This window comes from Homo sapiens, chromosome 14 (genome assembly GCF_000001405.40).
Source record: "Homo sapiens chromosome 14, GRCh38.p14 Primary Assembly".
Classification (NCBI taxonomy): domain Eukaryota; kingdom Metazoa; phylum Chordata; class Mammalia; order Primates; family Hominidae; genus Homo; species Homo sapiens.
In genome coordinates, this window is record NC_000014.9 from 76,396,118 (window position 1) to 76,417,359 (window position 21,242).

A 21,242-nucleotide genomic window follows, 5' to 3' on the forward strand; every position below is an offset into this window, starting at 1 on the left:
AACCGAGATCACGCCACTGCACTCCAACCTGGTGACAGAGTGAGACTCCGTATCAAACAAAAACAAAAACAAAAACAAAAACAAAAAACAAAAAAACAGCCTTCACAGGTTCATGTGGACTGAGATAAAAATACAGGCAACATAGAGTTGAGTAAAAATAAAAATCAAGTAGCTGGACAGTGGATAGAGTAAAATCACATGTATGGCTTTTTAAGCTCTAAATGCTGGGTATATGCTTTTGAAACTTGGGGAAAGAGATATTAAAAAAAACTGTCCTTTGAGTTAGCTGTAGGGAATGGGCTTAAGAATCCTGGTATTGGGAGAGATTTTTACCTTTAACTTTGACTCTTTTGATTGTATGTACATATTCTATAATGAAAACAATTTTAATGTGTAAGTTAAGGGAACCAAGTGTGAGCAAACAAGCCAGCAAACTAATAAACCTTTCTAAGAAAAACATTGAAATACAAAGGATCCTTATGAAAACTTGGAAGTCAGCTCTCTGGACACACAGTCCTCTAGAAACCAGGTTCTGTCCCTGCTCCAGGTCCCTGCCCACCTGCTCCCCTGGTCCCCTGCAGTGCACATGCTACCAAGCCTGTGCCTCTGCCTGCAGCAGGACAAACCCAGACAGAGGCTTAGCCCGGAGGCTCAACTTCCGGAGGCTCAACTCCCGGAGCCAGCGCTGGCGGTAGATGCAGCAGCCAGGCTCGGCCTGGGTTGGCAAGGGTTGGCCTCACCACTAGATTCTCTCTCCACTTCACGCCTCATGGAGCCAGGCCGAGGGAGTCGCTGGAGGATCGTGACTACCCGAGTGGGTGGTTGCTCACCTGCCCAGGAAGCCATTAATCTTGTGTCTCTGCGGCCTCTCCTCCCACGCCAGCCGCCCGGGCACGGACTGACTCGGGAAAGGACATGAAAGGGGCCCTGGGCTTCATTCCATGGTGGACCATGACCCTGGAAAATACCATCTGGCTTTTCTGTGTGTCTTCTGACACCAATTCCCCTAGTCGGGACACATCAAAGAGAGTGCGCCTGGTGACATTTCTCATTGTTATTCCTTTGGCAGGGCCTTCGGATTCAGGTCACAGATAGACTTGCACCTCCAGAGGCTGCCTGTGGGGCCTGAGCCCCCCATCTTACAGATGCCTCAGGAGGGGGCTTGTAGAGGTGACCCAGGACCCCCTAGCGGCCAAGACCCCAGTCAACGGCACCCAGCAGGCCAGTCCCCCAGGGCCAGTCTGGGCAGCAGAACCTCCTGGAGTGACCGCTCTGACTTTCCTTCTCTGCCCTCTGATGCTACCCACGCAAAACAGCCAAAGCGCCAGGTACCCCATCCAGGGTGTCAGTAATGTGTGGAGTTTGACCTTACCCTGGGAATCCCAGCTTCAGTCACAGAGTCATATTTTCTTTACGGAGGCTGGGCTTGCTGGCTTTAAAGTAATTCCAAAATAGATTTATTGGACAAAATTTGGGCAAAAATTGAGACAAAATAATTTGGGGCAGGCCAGGCATGGTGGCTCGTGCTTCTAATCCCAGCACTTTGAGAGGCCAAGGCAGGAGGATTGTTTGAGACCAGGAGTTCGAGACCAGCCTGGGCAATGTAGCGAGACCTTGTCTCTATTTTTCAAAAAGAATAAAACATTTAAAAGAATAATAATTTGGGGCAAAAAGGGGGCTTCTGAATAACCTCGAGGTTTGATACTCAGAAATGCACTACCTCCTGAGCAGAAAGTCGCCTGTGGCAGGAGGTATGTGCATGCAAAGTTGACCTGTTTGGAAGGTTATAGAAGATACAACAGCAGCCAGGGGCTTGCACTATCTGTTGCACACTTTCCCCTTTTGAATAAACCCCTTTGTTTCATATCAGTGGGGAACAGAGGATGGGCACATGCAGGGCCTCATTGGATATTCTCTCACTTTTTTATGTCTAGCCTTTTAAACATGGGGCAGTGCCTCCTACGCCAGCTTGTGCTTTGTTGGAAAATTGGTTCAATAGCCCTGCTAGCTGGCATGCATTGAAGTATTTCCTATATGCCAGGCACAGTGTATCGTGCATTACCCAGTTAGTACTTTTGAATTTCACAACTGTCCTGCAAAGTAGGCACTTGCATTTTCCTCATATTCCAGATGAGGAAATAGGAGCTCAGAGAGGTTGAGTAGCACCCCCAAAGTCACAGATCTAACACAAGGCAAAGCTGGCATTTAAACATAGACCCACCTCCAAAGTCCAGTGTGCTGGACACACCTGCAGAAGACAAATAGTTCCCCCATATTTCAATCTCTCTCTCTGTTGGAAACTGAGTCCGCTTTTTGTTATTGCTTCCCCCATCAGAGTTCAAAGGCAGCTAGGAAATGGGGTGGTCTCTGCTTTGCTGCTTACCACCTTGTCACCTTTCATTTGTATTTCCCTAGAGTAGGGAGGCAGTGCCCTTTCTTGGCAGGGTGCAGTGGGTGGAAGGAGGGTAGGGCTGTGGGGGAAGGGGTCAGAGGAGAGGATTGCCTCTCTCTAGGTAGTCAAGGGGGCATACGTATGGGGTAAGAGGCTGGTTGGCATTGGGCATTGCATTCGGGGTCAACCATTCCAGTTCCCAGATACACATGCTGATAGAATCCTTGTGACAACCCTGTGAGGTAGAAGCTCTTCTGCTCCTCCTTTTACAAGTGTTGAAACTGAGGCTGTGTGCCTTGCTCAGGTTGCTGAGCTAGCACACAGTGGAGTCTGACTCCAGCCTAGGTCTGCCTGCCTCCTAAGTCCCAACTCACCACCACCATCCTGCATTTGATTCGGTTCAGCCTCTCTGTCTGCTGAGGGGACTGTAGGAAGTGACAGAAAGGATGCAGTTGCATAGGTGGGTTAGGGGTTTTTTAAATCCTCATTTTCCTGATGGAGACCCTGAGACCCAAGTGTCTTGCTGAACTCAGTACACTGGGGACTGAAATTACCACCTGTCCCCTGGCTGCAGCCTGCCTTTTTTGCAGATGGGTCCAAACAGCAGATGTGGATGGTCTGGGAGGGAAGGTTCCTGTGGCTGTGTGATGAGGGAGACGGGGGTGGCTTGCTGGCCAGCCGTGTGTTTTAACCAGCGCGTATATATCTTTATTTAAAGGAGTCCTATGCTTTTGACAATCCATCAGGAAGCTCCCTGTGACGGAGTCCAAGGGGTTCCCTGGTATTGCTCTGTGATCTTTAGACAAGCCACTTAGCCTCTGAACCTCTATGTTCTCATCTGCCTGATGAGGATAAGAGAATCCCAACTCCCTGAATCAATGCTAGGCTAGGTGAAATCAAACAGCCAACACAGGTTGGATGTGCACTCCAGGAGGCTTCCTAGCAATGTCCCCGCCGCTCATTCCTCCTCGTTATGCCCTCAGAGCCCACATCATCCCCTTTGAATATGCTCGCTGATGGCAAGTCTCCTTCCATTCCGGGTGGATTTAATGTTTAATGCAGCCAAGGTCATTTGGAGGCAAGTCTAGGGAATTAGCTGGGTGACAGAGCTGAGCAAAGAGATTTTTGATTACAAAGAAAGTGAGGATGTGACTCTATTTCTCAGATAATCTGGGCTGAAAGGCAGCTCCCAAGAGGAACTCCAAAAATGCTTTGACGAAAGCCAGCATCACTGGGAATTGGGAAGAGATGCCCAGGGTGACCATGAGGAAGGGGACAGCGCTCACTAGGGTGTATAAATACCGGTTGGTCACAATTGGTCTCCTGACTTCACAGTCACACCCTGCTGCTCCTGACCAGATGCTGCCGTTTCAAGGAGCAAACTCGGTGGGAGGTCATATAGGTGTCCAGTGGAACTGGGGTAATTGTGGCCGTCTCAGGTCAGGCTCAGTCCCTGATCCATGCGGAATAAATAATGGCCCAGCAAGATGCCTATACCTTTCTCATCTTACCAGCCAAACCTGCAAATTACCCAACAGAACCCATGCTGCTTTGGCTGGGAGGGCCGAATGAGCCAGAGCTTGCAAGAGTCTAGCTGGGGGCAGAAGGGAGGAAGGATACACACCCCCTCCTGCTCCTGGTACCTCATCTGCTCTTGAGAATTAGCCTGGCAGTGGGAGCCCTTCAACTGGGTACTTCGTGTACTGCCGTCCTTTGACATTTTCCTTCTGGGAAAACTTCTAGAGAAGCCATTCTGGGAAAGGTAGAGATTTAGAAGTTTTGAATAAGAAAATAGCAAGCTGAGAACATAATCTGGGGAGAAAGAGCACAGGGCAGAGAACTCTGAATAGTGGCAGATGGACTTCCATCTGAAGACCGTTGCAGATTTGAACAAAATGAGGGAAATGACAAGAGCCGGAAGCCTTCCAAAAGGAACCGCTTCCATTGAAGTCTGTCCCTGATTCTCAGGTTAGAGTCTTCCTCATTTGGGATGTGAAAATGGTTTTTCTTTTATAATGTGATGCTTGTACTAGGTTGCCTTTTCCCACGTTTTATGTTCTCACTTGACAAATAGCGTCAACTTTGTATTGGTCCCAGTTTGGGTGGTGGTGAACGGGAGTGGGAATTATCTTGTGTGGTTGGAAGATGGGAACCACTGGCCTAGAACCCAGAAACTGGAAACTAGCTGTCCTCAAGCTGGGCCTTAAGTCTCTGTAGGGAACCTGGGGACAGAAAGTGAAGACACACGAACAACTGTTTATATCCGCCATCCTCCAACGGGCAGGCTCCTATGGGTGGGGCTCCATTTAGCCCAGGAATTCTCCTCTTCCCATTGGTGCTCTGCTCTTCTGCTCTGTGCAGAGGGCAGCTGGTTCTAAGGTCCAGAGATATAAGATTTCTTCGCTGGTTTAAGCAGCACCGAGAGTGTGGTCCTCTCGCTCTCCCTGATTGTGCTCTGAGCTCTGGCCTCTTGCAGGGAGTTGCCAGACACATGTGTGAGAAGAAGGGCTCCTTTTGCCGTTTTACCCCGGGTGTGATCACAGCTCCGGCCCAGGCCACTACTGAGCCCTACACTGTCCAATATTCATATGGGAGGGTTGAGACGAGAAAAGGCACTAAACATCCTGTGTCATAGGAAAAGGGAACAAAAGAGGAAGCCTCGAAACAGACTGGGAGTTGTCATTCATGAAAGAGTGAGCCTTCCAAATCCCCCACGCTGGCTGGTCTTTACAGCCTGGAAGACTTCAGATTAAAGAGACCATGATGAATGGGGACCGTGAGGATAGATTACTTCAGGGAACACCTCAGTGTCACCCAGCTGATGGTGGCCCCAATTTCTGGGCAGTGGGTGGGGAGTGGAGGCCTCCAGCCCTCTTCGATTCTGACCTTCAGCTGCAGCATTCCTTGAGCATTCGTGGAACTTTAGTACTGCAAGATACTCTCAGGGGAAACAGCTTCCTGGGGAGTTCGCCAAAGAAACAGAACCAATACGATGTATAGTCATGTGCCACATAATGACATTTCAGTTAATGATGGGCTGCATATATGATGGGGTCTCATAAGATTATAACACTGCATTTTTTACACCTTTTCTTTGTATAGATATACACATACCATTGTATTACAATTACCTACAGTATTTAGTACAGTAACATGCTGTACAGGTTTATAGCCTAGGAGCAATAGGCTTTACCATACAGCCTAGGGGTGTAGTAGGCTATGCCATCTAGGCTTGTGCAAGTACACTCTATGATGTTCACACAATGATGACATCTCCTAACAATGCATTTCATTATTAAGCAATGGATGACTGTGTGTGTATATATCCTTTATTTATGTATATAAAGAGATTTATTATAAGGAATTAGCTTACATGATTATGGAAGCCGACAAGTCCCAAAATCTGCAGGGTAAGTCAGCAAGCTGGAGACCCAGGAGAGCTGACAGTGTAATTCTAGTCCAAAGGCAGGCAGACTTGGGACCCAGGAAGAGCCAATATTTCAGTCTGAGTCCAAAGGCGGGAGAAGGCTGATGTCCCAATTTGAAGGCCATTGGGCAGGAAGGATTTTATTTCTCTTGGGAGAGGGTCAGTCTTTTTGTTTTATTCAGGCCTCTAGCTGATTGGATGATTGCACAGGGCAACCTGCTTTACTTAATTTGCTGATTTCAATGCTAATCTCATCCAAAAACACCCTCATGGAAATACCCAGAATAATATTTGGCCAAATATCTGGAGACTCCATGGCCCGGTCAAGTTGACACTCAAAATTAACCATCATAGCAGTCACATGAGTTTGGGAGATTCTTGTAAACCATGGCCCTGTCTTCGGCCTTCCAGGGCATTTTAGTGTAGTAAAGGTTCTGAGAATGCAGTCAAGAAACCTATTTGACTTGTTCACTCAAGTGTTTTCCTTATTTATTTGGCCATGGTACTTTGTGGGGACTGGGGAGGAGGGAAGGAGGGAAGGGCCATGATGCCTGTTGAATCCCATGACTCTGGGAACTATCCATTGGGAAACACCACCCTGGAGATGTAACATTAGAAAGACACTGCTGTGCCAGCTGCAAGAAAGCGGTCTGTCCATGACTGGGGCTGTGGTGCATTTTGAGGCTTCCAGGCACTGTCATGGTCAAGCTGCATCCCAAAGTGAAAGGACTCAAGAGAGAACTTTCTGGGAATTCTTTCTTTCTTTTCTTTTCTTTTTTTGAAATGCGGGTCTCGCTATGTTGCCCAGGCTGGCCTCGAACTCCTGGCCTCAAGCTACCCTCCTGCCTCAGCCTCCTAAGTAGCTGGGACTACAGGCATGACATCCCACTCAGCTCTGGGAATTCTTTCTTTTTCTTTCTTTTTTTCTTTTTCCTGGAGACAGGGTCTTGCTCTGTCACCTAGGCTGGAGGGCTGGAGTCCAGTGATGTGGCCACAGGCATACACCATCACACCTGGCTAACTTTTGTGTTTTTTGTAGAGACAGGGTCTCCCCATATTGGCCAGGCAGCTTTCAAACTCCTGGGCTCAAGCAATCTTCCTGCCTTGGCTTCCCAAAGTGCTGGAATTACAGGTGTAAGCCACCACACCCAGCCAGAATTTGTAATTCAGCTGCACTTAGAGGGTGTTTACTTGGTACTGGCTGAGTGCTAAGTGCTTTGTATGCATGATCTCATTTAATCTTTTCAACCACTTTTTGCATTAGGAACTAGTGTCTCATTTTACAGATAAAGAAATACGCACAGAGTTGTGTGACTTTCTCACAAGTGGGAAATCAGGATTTGAACCTAGTCCTGTCTGACTCTAGAACAATGCCCTTAACCACTCTACCCTGATTCCCACTGTGTGGCTGGGAAATCTATAGGCAAAAACAAAACAGAGGCCTCACCAGGCATGTGGTTTGAAATCAAACAGTTTATCTGAAAGTCCTTAACTGATAGGATGCCTTTTGATGGCAAAAGGGAAAATGAAGAGATGAGGGAATGGGAGGAAGTATAATACTGTTAGGGAAGACAGACTTTGCATGAGGGTAAGATGTGGTCATGTCGAAGAGGGAAAGGCAGAGCATAGCTCAGGGTGTTCTGAGCCATCATCTGCCTTGTTGGTGACAGAGAGACCCTGCTCAGCTCTACATTTCCTTGCTGCACGAGGCCCCGGTGCCCTCAGAGGTGGTCCCTGAGAGTGCCAGAGAGGTGGAGGTGGTGACAGGTGGTAAGACCCTGCTGAGCAGGACCATCTTTTTTTTTTTGAGACAGAGTTTCACTCTTGTTGCCCAGGCTGGAGTGCAATGGCACAATCTCAGTTCACTGCAACCTCCGCCTCCTGGGTTCAAACGATTCTCCTGCCTCAGCCTCCTGGGATTACAGGCACCCTCCACCACGCCCGGCTAATTTTTGTAGTTTTAGTAGAGATGGGGTTTCACCACGTTGGCCAGGCTGGTCCCGAACTCCTGACTTCAGGTGATCCACCCACCTCGGCCTCCCAAAGTGCTGGGATTACAGGCGTGAGCCACCATGCCCGGCTGGGAGCAGGACCTTCTTGTGCTCCAATCATTGGTGTGACTTGGACAAGTCTACATACTCTCAAATATCTGGTGTGCTTTCTGTCTATCTGCTGTGCAAACAAGGTTGTTGCATCCTATTTTTGCATTAGGGTGTTCCAGAAAGGAAGAGTCTCATGTGTATGTGTGTGTGTGTGCGCGCGTGCGTGTGTCTTCAGCAACCAGTACTCACCAGGGACCTAGCCATAGGAGTGCCCACAAACAGTGTGTCTGCATATGTGTGTGTAGATACATACCACACATAAATGTATTCCTGTATCACAAAGTACTTTTAAATTCTTTATATATATTATTTATATAATATTATATAATATAATTAATTATCTGTCTCTCCCACCAGAATAAAAGTTTCCTGAGGTCAAGGACTTCCTTTTCCCTGCCAAAATGGTGTCCAGAACTTTGAGGTATCTAATAAATATTGTGAATGAATGAATGGCCAGACCATGGGCTGTGATCTCTTAGCTAATGTCCTAGAATTTACACCTTCAGCAGAGCCCCTTGGGAAATGGCAGTCAGCGTTGCAGCCACCTTCACCTCTTCCTCCACCGTCTCCTCTTCCTTTATTGTTTCTGCCTCCTTTTCTCCCTCCCCTTCCCAGTGCTTAGAATCGTCTCTGGCAACAGCTCCAGCCCAGCCTTTTGAAAATACACTTAATGATGGTTTTGACTTTTTTTCTAAAAGCAACAAAATCATTTGGAACCAAGAAGATTAGCTGTTTTTTTGGCCACTGAGGTCCTTAACTCAGAGATGATAAATAGGGCACGGTAATCAGATCAGTATTTTGTTGTGGGCAGTAAACTATCTCTAATGGTCATTCCCCTTATAGAGGAGGGCTCAGTATGAAAGAACAGGGACAGAGAGACCCAGGAAGCCCCTCAGAAGGGGACAGACCCAGCTGGATGTTGACATTCTGGTTGCATCGTTTTCTAAAGCAATTTCCTGAGTTTTTGCCCTCCTGTGTGTATTTACATAGACACGAACTTTAAGCCTGACACCTCAGAAGCTGTTTGGGAAGGATGGGCTCGCAGATTTTGTTTTTGTCTTTGTTTGTTTGATTGTTTTTTAGATAGGGCCTCTCTCTGTCACTGAGGCTGGAGTGCAGTGGCGTGATCAGAGCTCACTGCAGACTTGAAACTCCTCGGCTGAGGCAATCCTCCCACCTCAGCCTCCCAAGTAGCTGGGACTACAGGCACACACCACTGCACCACTACCACTACACCCGGCTAATTTTTTTTTTGTAGAGACAGGTTCTTGCTGTGTTGGCCAGGCTGGTCTCAAACTCCTGCCCTCTAGCAATACGCCTGCTTCGGCCTCCCAAACTGCTGGGGTTACAGGTGTGAGCCACTGTGCCCATCTGGTTCCCAGAACTGAAGAAGGCCTGGAACCTAGAGGGCAGATGAACCGATAATGGGAGTGTTTCCTTGTAAGTTGCCTTGGGAAGTAGTGTGGGTGGTTTATCTTGGGCATTTAAGTCCATGAGCATGATCAGAAGAGGTAGAATGCTTCCAGGGGGCTTGTTGGTGAGACCTCAGGAAAATGGACAAAGGAAAAGACAGAAGGAAAATGGACAAAGCTCGGGATTTGCACATGGCCTGCTGTAGCCAAACTACCCTTAGGATTTAGCCCTTCTCCCTGCCAAGCCTCTCTGAGGTCGCGCCACTGCACTCCAGCCTGGCAACAGAGCGAGACTCTGTCTCAAAAAAAAAAAGGTGTGGTGGCATGCACCTGTAGTCTTAGCTACTAGGAAGGCTGAGGCAAGAGTCACTTGAGCCAAGGAATATGAGGCTCAGGAGTTTCAGGTTACAGTGAGCTATGATTGTGCCGCGTCACTCCAGCCTGGGTGACAGAGTGAGACCCTGTCTCAGAAAAAGGGAAAGAAAATCTAACCTATAAATTATTTTCTAACATAATGAAATGTTTACGAATATACCATTAATGAAGCAAGTTGACATTAGGTTGTGCTTTGTGGACATTTAATTACACATTTAAACATTTTGATCTTGCATTTTTCCTTTTCATATTTGGGGATTAAAAATGTATTTGCATATTTCAAGCATGTTGAAGGTCTTTGGAAAAACTCAAAGGCCAGAAGCTCTGTGCCTACAGGGCTGAGTGGACAAACCGCCCCTGCTCCGGCCCTAAGAAATTACAGAGTAAGGAAGAGGCAAGGGAGGACACTGGAGAAAAATGAAGCATTGACTGGAGATGTCTCTGAGGGTCTCTGAGGGTGGGAGGTGGGGTTGGGGCTGGGAGTTAGGGCTTGGTTCTCAATGGTTTTCTGATATCTAGTTCATTTAATCCCCATTGCCTGGGGAGCTCTTCCCCTAACTCTCCAGATACCCATTAGCTCCCTTCCTCTCTTCATTAAAGATTCTACTCAAATGTCACATTGGTTAAAACAGTGCCCCGGCTGGGTGCAGTGGCTCACACCTGTAATCCCAGCACTTTGGGAGACTGAGGCAGGTGGATCACGAGGTCAGGAGTTAGAGACCAGCCTAGACAACATAGTGAAACCCCGTCTCTACTAAAAATACAAAAAACTAGCCAGGTATGATGGCAGGCACCTGTAATCCCAGCTACTTGGGAGGCTGAAGCAGGAGAATTGCTTGAACCCAGAGGCAGAGGTTGCGGTGAGCCAAGATCATGCCATTGCACTCCAGCCTGGGCAACAAGAGCAAGACTTCGTCAAAAAACAAACAAACAAACAAACAAAAAACCAGTGCCCCATCCTTGCCCATCCTTGTCTAACACAAGATGTAGTGCTAAGAAGCCATTAATGCCATGTGGACAAATAAACAGACTAATTGGGTAGGGAGAGTCCTCTGTTATTGATTAGTCTGTTTACTTGTGCGTGCTCTGTCTTGATCCGCCTCCTGCGGGCAGGGAATGTGTTGTATTCACCAGTGTCTGGCACCTAAAGGCTCCACAATAAATGCGTGGTTGTTGGCACAATGAATGAACAAATGAATAAATGAATCTTGGCCCTCCCTGCCTCCAGTGGCTGTTGGGAGAATCAGGTGAGAGAAAATGCAGTCTTCAAAGGATAAGCTGATGTGCCGTCGGCCCCAGGAGTCACAGCACATTTTCTCTTTCTAGGAGTCCTTAAAATGCAGGCAGAAGCTCATCCTCAGAAATTCTGAGTCAGTCGGTTGGGGGCAGAGACCAGCGATCTGAATTTAACAAACTCTTTGGGTGATACTGATGCTGCTGGTCATCAGCCTATGCTGGGAGGAGACTTTGCTGACAACTAGCTGTCACTTTTTAGTCATTTTGCTGAGCGGGACACAAATGTAGAGCCACAATGCAATGTGACCCTAGAGCCCATGGTTCCAGAGTCGGGGGTTGCCCCTCTCCATGTTTGAGGGCCGAAGAGCCTGCATCGAGCAGAGCCACCAGGCTAAATCCTCTGACCTTGACTTTGGTTTAGGGACCAGAGTCTGGTATCTAAGTGCGATCTTACTCTAGCTTTCCCATCTGTTCTGTTTAGGCCAGAGGTGATCCAGTGATTTGGGAGCTGCAGGTCACACAGGCTGCTCAGAGGGTAAGTTGGGTCCAGTCGGGCCAGCAGGGCCACATGGCCGATTCACACTCAGTCCAAAACCCTCGTGGCTGAGCATTGATGCAGACCATGCTGTCTTGTGGGAGTGGTCTGGGTGCCTCTAGGAGGGCAGAAATACCACATTACTGCCTGGTGACCTTGGAAAGGGGGACAGAGGTGCTGGCACTGGGATGCTGAGCAGCCAAAGCCAGTGAGACCCACGTGGAGGGAGGCAGCTAGCTTGCTTGCTTCCTGAAAGCCAGACAGAGCCTCTCAGCCTAATTTGCTTGTGCCAGGCAGCCTGTGAATTCTTATAGCCAAACCACCTGGTGGGTGACTGTTGACACGGGACTGCCGGGTCCTGGCAGCCCAGCCCTAGCACAGACACCAGGCAGCACACAGACCTCAGGTCACATAGGCACTGGCCAGTCTTTGAGGACACAGTGTCTGGCTCCAGTTATTTCTACCTGCAGTACAGTCTCGGGGCCCTGAGTCAACAGGCGGGTTTGAGAGGACTTCAGGTCTTGGCCCCAAAAAAGTGCACATGACCAGGTTCACGGTCACCTCAGGCTATCTGGCCCCACTCATTGATTCATGCTTATGTTCATTCTACAGAAATTATTCAGCACCTTCTACGAAGACACAAAGAAGGAAAGGAGTTCCCATCTGTCCTTAAAGAACTTAACTGTTAAATGATGTCCCAGGCTGGGCTCAGTGGCTCACGCCTGTAATCCCAACATCTTGGGAGGCCGAGGCAAAAGGGTCACTTGAGCCCAGGAGTTTGAGACCAGCCTAAGCAACATGGCAAGACTCTGTCTCTACAAAAAATTTTTAAAAATTAACCAGGTGCAGGTGCATGGGGGTGCATGCCTGTGGTCCCAGCTCCTCCGGAGGCTAAGGTGGTGGGGCGATTGCTTGAGCCTGGGAGGTCAAGGCTGCAGTGAACCAAGATCACACCACTGCACTCCAGCCTGGGTGACAGAGTGAGACCCTGTCTCAAAAAAAAAAAAAAAAAAAAAAAAAAAGATAAGCACTACATAGAGCAGTGGGCAGCCCCCAAATGCATAGAGCTGGCATGCAGCAGGCACTCAGTAAATCTTGGTTGAATGAGCAAGGTGCTGGAGGAGCTAGGAGGAGAGAGTGAGAAACTGGCCAGGGAAAGCTCCTGCATGAAGGAAAAGGAAAAGGCATTCTACATGAAAGGTGTGAATGTTACAAAATATATGAGGAGTAATGTGGCCATGTGGAGAAGTAAGAGCTCACTTCCATTGAGCGCTTCATTTCAACCAGGCATTGTTCTGAACATATTACACATATCATCTCTTTAACCTTTGAGATAGGGCCTATTGTTGTCACTCCCATTTTATAATTGCACAGCCTGAGGCCCAGAGAGGCTGAGCTTAAGGCCATGCAGGTAGTGAGTGGCAGAGTCAGGTGTTAATCCACTCACCAATGGGCACTTAACCCAACCTGAGCCTCCACTTCTCCATCTGTAAAATGGGAACGCCCAGGCTTCCCCTGACAGTTTCTTGGACAGATTAAGAAAGCTGTGCATGAGTGCACATGGAATGTCTGTGAAAAAGTTACAAGATTCACAGAAAACTTGCTAACAATGGTTACCTTTGGGGAGGCTGCCTAGAGGACCAAGGATTAGAGAAAGTATGTATCAGTTTTTGGATCTCTTTTTGGGCCTCCAGCGGGTGAAAGTTAAAATGACAAGCAGCCTAAATGGGAAGGAGTTGGAGGGTGGGTTAAGTTTGAAAGGAGAAAGAGCAGTTGAGGCTGGAGAAAGGATGTTATTTGACTGTAGCGAACACTCTGCCTGCACCCCCCAGTCCCTCTCTCTTTGAGGGGAAGGATGCCGTGGCGACGGTCTTCCTCCTTAATATAGTATGTACATTTTATCTCTGCAGACTTCTTGCAGACTTGGTTTAAAGATCTCAGCTCAATACCATTAGTGTATATCTGCAGAGGGCCCTTTGTAAAATTGATTAGAAAGTGGGCTTTTGCATGTGGGGTGGGGGCGGGGGTGGGACCTAATCGGATTTGAGCATGAGATGGTATCTAATTCCCTGCATCTAGCAACTGGCTTGGGGACCTCCCTGGGAGCCAGGGCCCCCCTAATTTGGTTTGCAAATACATTAGCCAAACAAGCTGAGGGGGCTCCTTTGGGGAGAGGGTTTTTGGGGGATGGGGATGGGAGATGGTGGGAAGGCTGAGGAAATGAAGAAGGGAAGGGTTTTCTGTGCAGGTCCTGGAGTATAAACCGTACATGCGATTGCCAAGGCTGTGCATGTCTCATGGTTTTACCCCATTCGGGAGAATGAAGCAAACTTCTAAGAGGACCAGGCTGGGCCTGGTGGCTCAGTCCTGTAATGCCAGCACTTTGAGAGGCTGAGGGGGGTGGATCACCTGAGGTCAGGAGTTTGAGACCACCCTGGCCAACATGGTGAAACTCCGTCTCTACTAAAAATACAAAAACTAGCCAGGCATGGTGGCACACGCCTGTATTCCCAGCTACTCAGGAGGCTGAGGCAGGAGAATCACTTGAATCCAAGAGGTGGAGGTTGCAGTGAGCTGAGTTCATGCCACTGCACTCCAGCCTGGGCGACAGAGCAAGACAGGTCTCAAAACAAACAAACAAACAAACAAAGACTTGGTGTATTGCTTACCATTTTTGAGCCATTATATATACATTTTGTTTCATTTTTTCAGTCTTTTAAAAAAAAGTAATACATTCACATGTGTAACAAAAATGTCAAACACTATGAGAGTGCAGGCAGTGACTGGTAGGGTATTTTTCCTCCCCTAATCCTTGGTCCCCTAGACAGAATCCCTAAAAGTAGCCACAGTTACCAAGTTTTCTGTGAACCTTACAATATTTTCAAAAATTGTCCATGTGCACTCATACACAGCTTTCTTAATCCCTCCAAGAAACCTGCAGAGGAAACTTGGTGTTCCCATTTTACAGATGGAGAATGGAGGCACAGGTTGGTTAAGTGCCCACTGGTGAAGGGCCAGGATCCAAATTGTGAATGATCTGGTGGTCTGGCTTTATATCCTGGGGTCTTTCTGTGAAATCATATGCTCTCTTATGTGCCTTTCCCAGAAAGAGAGGGGGCTGTTCAGAGCTATAAACACAGCAAATATTTGAGTTTTTACTTCTCCAACTCTTTTCTTCTTATTTTTTTTTATTTTTTTATTTTTTGAGACAGAGTCTCTCTCTGTCACCCAGACTGGAGGGCAGTGGTGCAATCTCAGCTCACTGCAACCTCCCCCTTCTGGGTTCAAGTGATTCTTGTGCCTCAGCCTCCCGAGTAGCTGAGATTACAGGCAAGTGCCACCAAGCCCGGCTAATTTTTGTATTTTTCGCAGAGACGGGGTTTTGCCTTGTTGACCAGTCTGGTCTTGAACTCCTGATCTCAGGTGATCTGCCTGCTTCAGCCTCCCAAAGTGCTGGGATTACAGGCAAGAGCCACCGCGCCTGGCCCATTCATTTCTTCTTGGGTCCATCCATATGCTATCGTTTTGTCCACTTATACCCAAGCATCCTAAAAACAGGATGCAAGGCTGGGCATGGTGGCTCACGCCTGTAATCAATCCCAGCACTATGGAAGGCCAAGGCAGGCAGATCACCTGAGGTCAGGAGTTCAAGACCAGCCTGATCAACATGGTGAAACCCCATCTCTACTAAAAATACAAAAATTAGCCGGGCATGGTGGCGGGCACCTGTAATCCCAGCTACTCGGGAGGCCGAGGCAGGAGAATCACTTGAATCTGGGAGAAAGAGGATGCAGTGAGCTGAGATTGCGCCACCGAACTCCAGCCTGGACAACAAAGCAAGACTCCATCTTCCAAAAAAAAAACAGGAGGTGAACTTGCAAGGGCATCTTTACTACGGTCTCCTTCAGTTCAGTACCCCTTTATGAGAGTGAGGGGTGGAGTGTGTTGAGTGAATCCTCGCCTGCTTTATCTGGATCTTGAGTTCTGCCCACTTCCTACTAGACACTGTGTGTGTTGCAGGAAGGAGGATGCTGGTGGCAGCACGTGCTGCAAATTGTGTGGCAGCATCCAGCTTCATAACAGATAATCACAGTATCAACCTCGGAGGGTTCTTTGGAGGGTGGAATAATACCATGGCATGGTACCTGGTACATGGTAATCTCTCAATAAATATTAGTGATTAGTAGTATCACTAGCTAGAGAAGCTTTCGTACATTGCTCATCTGCTCTGTGCAATTTGCCTCAACTATAAGAATAGTATTATTCTGTTATCATCACACTATTATTTAATATTTAATATTTTTAAACAATCTGTGTAATAAGCTGGTATCATTTTAAATACAATTAGCATAGTGTCAGGTATACAAAAGATGCTCAATAAATATGATTTCCCATTTTATTCCCGTCTCTTTACCAGTTTTAAATCAAGATCTTGATTCTTCTTTATCCTTGTTGTGAATCTAATTTCTGTAAAGTGAGTCCATTTGTATTCCCACTCACATTTATTGAGAACCTGCTGTTTACCTGGCATTCTGCTCTGTGCTGCGGGGCACACAAAGAAGAACAGACCTCGGACTCCGCCCTCACAGGACGAAAAATCAAATCAGGAAGACTGAGAACAGAGGCATCAATTGCAGCCCAAGCTGTTCGCAGGGTTTGGGGCATGCTCCTGGGGTACAGGAATAGATGGAGTGGCTTCATGTTCTTCAGTACCTCAGTTTCCCCTTCTGAGGAGTGGAGGTAGTTCCCTTTCTTGTTTCTTGGTATTTGGAAGATGTGGAACAACCTGGCTGATGTGGTTTCAGTCTTGTGGGAACCAGTGGGCTGAGCCCCTTTCTTTACCCCTCTACCTCTCCCTCACCACCAAGTACCCTATACCTCTCTCCCACCCTACCCTGGCTGGAAGCTGCTCCTCCACTGGGCTGTCGACCTGGGAGCCTCCATCCTCCTCCTCCTTGCAAACCACACCTTTTCACCAGATCGTCATGCCAACCCCATCCTCCCCCAACAAAGAAGGTTTTGAAGGGACCAGAATACCTCAGCTTTGGATGCTGTACTATAAAATCCAGAATTATATAACTGCTGGATTATGGAGTGATTATTAGCTTTGCTGAAAGATTTTCCATTTACATAAGGATTAGCTGCGGGGTTCCTTTAAATAGCTGGCTTTGCTAATGCATTTGTATTGCAAAGAAAGGTGGGTGGGGGAAATAAGGACAGGATTGTGAAGCAGAAGGCCCGAGTTGCAGTGGCTCAGGCCTCTAATCCAAATGACTCAGGAGGCCGGGGCAGGAGGATCACTTGAACCCAGGAGTTCAACACCAGTCTGGGCAACATAGGGAGACCCTATCTCTACAATAAATTAAATTAAATTAACTAGGGATGGTGGCTTGTGCCTTTAGAAAAATAAAGAAAAGAAGGCTCGAGTTCTAAGCCAGCTGAGTAACTGGTCATTTTACCTCTTGAAGCCTTGGGTTTCTTTGATGAGGAAAGTGAGCGGTGACCACCCTACCCAGACCCAGCATTGCAGGAGAGGACTGTGCAGGCAGTTTGCAAAGAGCTGGGCGCAGGCAGTCAGGTGAGGCAAAGCTGCACCGCAGTGCTGTTGGTGTGATGAGCCTGCCCCTCAAAGGGTGATGTCGAAACCCCTGGTGTTGAATCTTCTAGCTGGCCTCTGCCCACCTGTCCATGCTGGTCTCCTGACAGACCCCCACCTGGCTTCTTCCTGTGCCCCGGCCCCGGCCACACACCTGTGTCCCGGACTTCCCACACCAACTCCAGTTCCTTGGCTGTATACTGCTGTTCCCTATCTCTGTGACTTGCACATACTGGTCCCAGTGCCCAGAATGCCATTCCCCACCCTCTTCCCTTCTTGGCCTGGCAAACACCTACTTGTCCTTCAAGACGTAGGCTAAACTTCTCCTCCAGGAAGCCTTCCCTGACTACCTTACACTAAGGAGGGTTAGACACTCCTCTGCACTCGCAGGTCCCATGAATGTGTGTGTGACCCTATCGTATTGCTTTGAGATCCTTCATTGTCCAGTGACTTTATGGTCATTGATCACTTATTTGTATCTGCCATGAGCTACTGAGCTTAGGGGCAGGGTCCCTGTTGTGTTTGACTCAGTAGATGTGTAGTAAATGAAATAAGTAAGCGAATAGTAACAACTTCTCATGTGCAGCAGGTGTTTCATCCCCAGCCACATGCAGCAGAGGCGGCCCCCGCACCGTCCCCCACCCCGTACCATCCTCACCCCTGCACCATCCCCACCCCTGCACCGTCCCCCGCCCCTGCACCGTCCCCTGCCCCTGCACCGTCTCCCGCCCCTGCACCGTCCGCCGCCCCTGCACCATCCCTCGCCCCTGCACCGTCCCCGCCCCTGCACCGTCCGCCGCCCCTGCACCGTCCGCCGCCCCTGCACCGTCCCCGCCCCTGCACCGTCCCCTGCCCCTGCACGGTCCCCGCCCCTGCACCGTCCGCCGCCCCTGCACCATCCCTCGCCCCTGCACCGTCCCCGCCCCTGCACCGTCTCCCGCCCCTGCACCGTCTCCCGCCCCTGCACCGTCCCCCCCGCCCCTGCAACGTCCCCCCGCCCCTGCAGCGTCCCCCCGCCCCTGCATACTGCATGCCCTGAAGCACAAAAACCCTGGTGTTAGACCACAGGGGTTCAAATAAATCCTGGCTCCACCCCAGCTGTGACCTTAACCAAATTATTTTGCTCCCGAGTTTCTTCATCTATAAAACAAGATCATAATAGTTCTGACCCCTTAGGGTTGCTGTGAATAGGAAGTGAGTTAATCTGTGTTCGGTACTTAGAGCAGTGCCTGGGCGCAGTACCTTCTGCGTCTGATGGCGGTTTTCATTTCGGAGGGCCCTGAGTTGTGCCCCTGTGGTTCCTCCCCAGCTCAGTCCCCTGTGTTGCTGAGCTTGCAGTCTCTGCCTCTTTACTTTCTTCGCTTGCTCTAGTGACCTGTCTCAGATCCCCACTCCCCCAACCAGTCAGCACAGAAATAATCAAATTTTACTTGATTATTAGTCATTACTTTCTGCTGCTGTTTTTGTTTGTTCCTTAAAAAAAAAAAAAAAAAAAAAAAAACTATTCTAGATTTAATTGAGTTGATTGATTAGCACAATCGCTGATTGGAAGGAGATACTCTGTAACCCTCTCCTCCTCCGGTGCCTTTTCCCAGAGAGGCACCAGGTGGACTGCCCGTGGCCTGGAGGTGCAGTGGCTTGTGGTGGCTGTGTGGGCTGGGAGCCTGGTCCTCCCAGGCCTAGTGACCTGAGGCAAGTCCCCGGCCCTCTCAGGGCCTCATCTGTAAGAAGGGGATTGAAGTAAATGAGCCTCTGAATCCCCTCACTTTTAAATTCTATGAAAACTCTACACCTGAGTGCCCCCAGCCTTGGTTTGTGAGTCGCCCATCCATTCAATATCACAGCTACCTCTGGGCCAGCACTTCTCAGGGTGCTGTGGGGACCCAGACGTGAGCAAGTCAAGAGCCCTGCCCTCTAGGAGCTAGTGGGGTGGGGTTGGGGACTGGCAAGACGCTAACTCCAGCATTTTTAACTTAGTGTGTTCCAAGCTCAGTGGAGTTTCAGAGGGGAATGCCTAATTCGAACAGTTGTAGAGGGGTGACATTTGGATTCAGTCCAAGACAAAATACCTTGTACAAACTTTAGGGGTGTGGAGAGTGAACTTTATAGAAGCCACCTCTATGTGCTGAGTACAGTGGTAAGCACTTAAATTGTTTTAAAACTTTTTATATCAAATAGAGATAGGATGGCCGGGCACAGTGGCTCACTCCTGCAATCCCAGCACTTTGGGAGGCCGAGACGGGCAGATCACGAGGTCAGGAGTTTGAGACCAGCCTGGCCAACGTGGTAAAACCCTGTCTCTACTAAAAATACAAAAATTAGCCAGGCGTGGTGGTTTGCACCTGTAATCCCAGCTACTCAGGAGGCTGAGACAGAAGAATCACTTGAACCCGGAAGGTGGAGTTTACAGTGAGCTGAGATCATGCTACTGCACTCCAGACTGGGCGAAAGAGTGAGACTCTATCTCAAAAATCAATAAAAAATTAGTAAATAAATAGAGATGGGGGTCTCACTGTATTGCCCAGGCTGGTCTCAAACTCTTGGGCTCAAATGGTGCTCCTGTTTCAGCCTCCCAAAGTGCCGGGATTACAGGCATGAGCCACTGCGCCTGATAAGCACTTTCTTTTCATTTTCTTTTTAATCCCCACAGCAACACTCTAAGTAAAAGGATATGATATCACTTTTATAGACAAAACACCCAAAGCTCAGAGAGGATAAGTGGCTTGCCTACAGTCAACAGCAAGCGAGGGAGAAGTAGACTTTGAATGATGTCAAACCTTATCCTCTTTACACAGTTTCATACCATATTACAGTATTAAATAATTTGAAGGTAAAATAATCAGCTAATTTCCCAAATGTCACTTCTATGTCCATTTTGGAACATGATCTTCCATACATACCCTTTTTACATTACATAATTAGAGTGATGTACCATTTTCCCTTTTTTTTTTTTTTTTTTTGAGACATGGTCTTGGCTCTGTCACACAGGCTAGAGTGCAGTGGTGTGATCATAGCTCACTGCAACCTCTTGGCTCCTGGGATCAAGGGATCCTCCTGCCTCAGCCCTCCAAGTAGCTGGGCTATAGGCGCCCACCACCACACCCAGCTAATTTTGTATTTTTGTAGAGATGGGTTTTTGCCATGTTGGCCAAGCTGGTCTCAAACTCCAGTTCAGACTGCCTTTGTCTCCCAAAGTGCTGGGATTACAGGCATGAACCTGCGCCCCGCCTCTATTTTTTTACTTATAGCATTTTTTCCCCCCGTCTCTGCTTTTTTGTTCTTTTCTCTTTTTTTGAGATGGAGTGTCACTCTTGTCGCCCGGGCTAGAGTGCAATGGCGTGATCGTGGTTCACTGCAACCTCCACCTTCTGGGTTCAAGCAATTCTCCTGCCCCAGCCTCCTGAGTAGCTAGGATTACAGATACCCACCACCACACCTGGCTAATTTTGTATTTTTAGTAGAGATGGTGTTTCACCATGTTGGCCAGGCTGGTCTCGAACTCCTGACCTCAGGTGATCCACCCGCCTCGGCCTCCCAAAGTGCTGGGATTTCAGGTGTGAGCCACTATTCCTGGCCCATCTCTGGGTTTTGTTCATTGACTCATATATTTACCGAGCACCTACTATGTGTCTTGATTCTGAGATAAAACAATTAGTCCAAGACCCTGCCTTCAGGGAACTTAACCTTAGGTGGACAGATGATAAACGGAGAAGCAATAAAACAAATAATAGAATGTCAGATATTAAGAATGGCTGTGAAGAAAGTAAAGCAGGATAAGATGTAGAGTATATGAAATTAGCCGGGCATGGTGGCGGGCACCTGTAATCCCAGCTGCTCAGGAGGCTGAGACAGGAGAATCGCTTGAACCCAGAAGGCGGAGGCTGCAGTGAGCTGAGATCATGCCACAACAATCCAAGCTGGCCAATAGAGTGAGACTCCATCTCAAAAACAAAAAAAGAAAGAAAGAAAAAGATGTAGAGTATCGATAGGGGTCAGGGTGTCTTCCCTGAAACGTGACATCTCAGCAGAGACCTGACTAATGATGAGGTGAGCTGTGTGGGTATCTGGGTACTCCAGGTAGGGGGAGCAGTCAGTGCAAAGGCCCTGGGATGGTGATGACCTTGGCACACTTGGGGAAGAGCAGGAGACCAGTGTGGGTGGAATGTG

General features: G+C 48.4%; 1 protein-coding gene across 9 annotated transcripts in view; it reads left to right on the forward strand.

Moving 5' to 3' along the window:
- Window positions 1-21,242, forward strand: part of ESRRB (estrogen related receptor beta) — a 191,061-nt gene that overhangs the window by 85,341 nt on the left and 84,478 nt on the right. The window contains exons 1-3 of one of the 9 annotated variants that reach the window (XM_011536550.3): window positions 859-1,328; window positions 8,279-8,342; window positions 11,426-11,479. The exons of 6 other annotated variants lie outside the window; for them this stretch is intronic. The gene's annotated coding sequence lies outside the window, so the exon portion shown is untranslated. Of the gene's footprint in view, window positions 1-858; window positions 1,329-8,278; window positions 8,343-11,425; window positions 11,480-21,242 lie in introns of those variants that run through there. 2 more of the 9 variants (NM_004452.4, XM_047431079.1) reach the window with 2 other exon arrangements.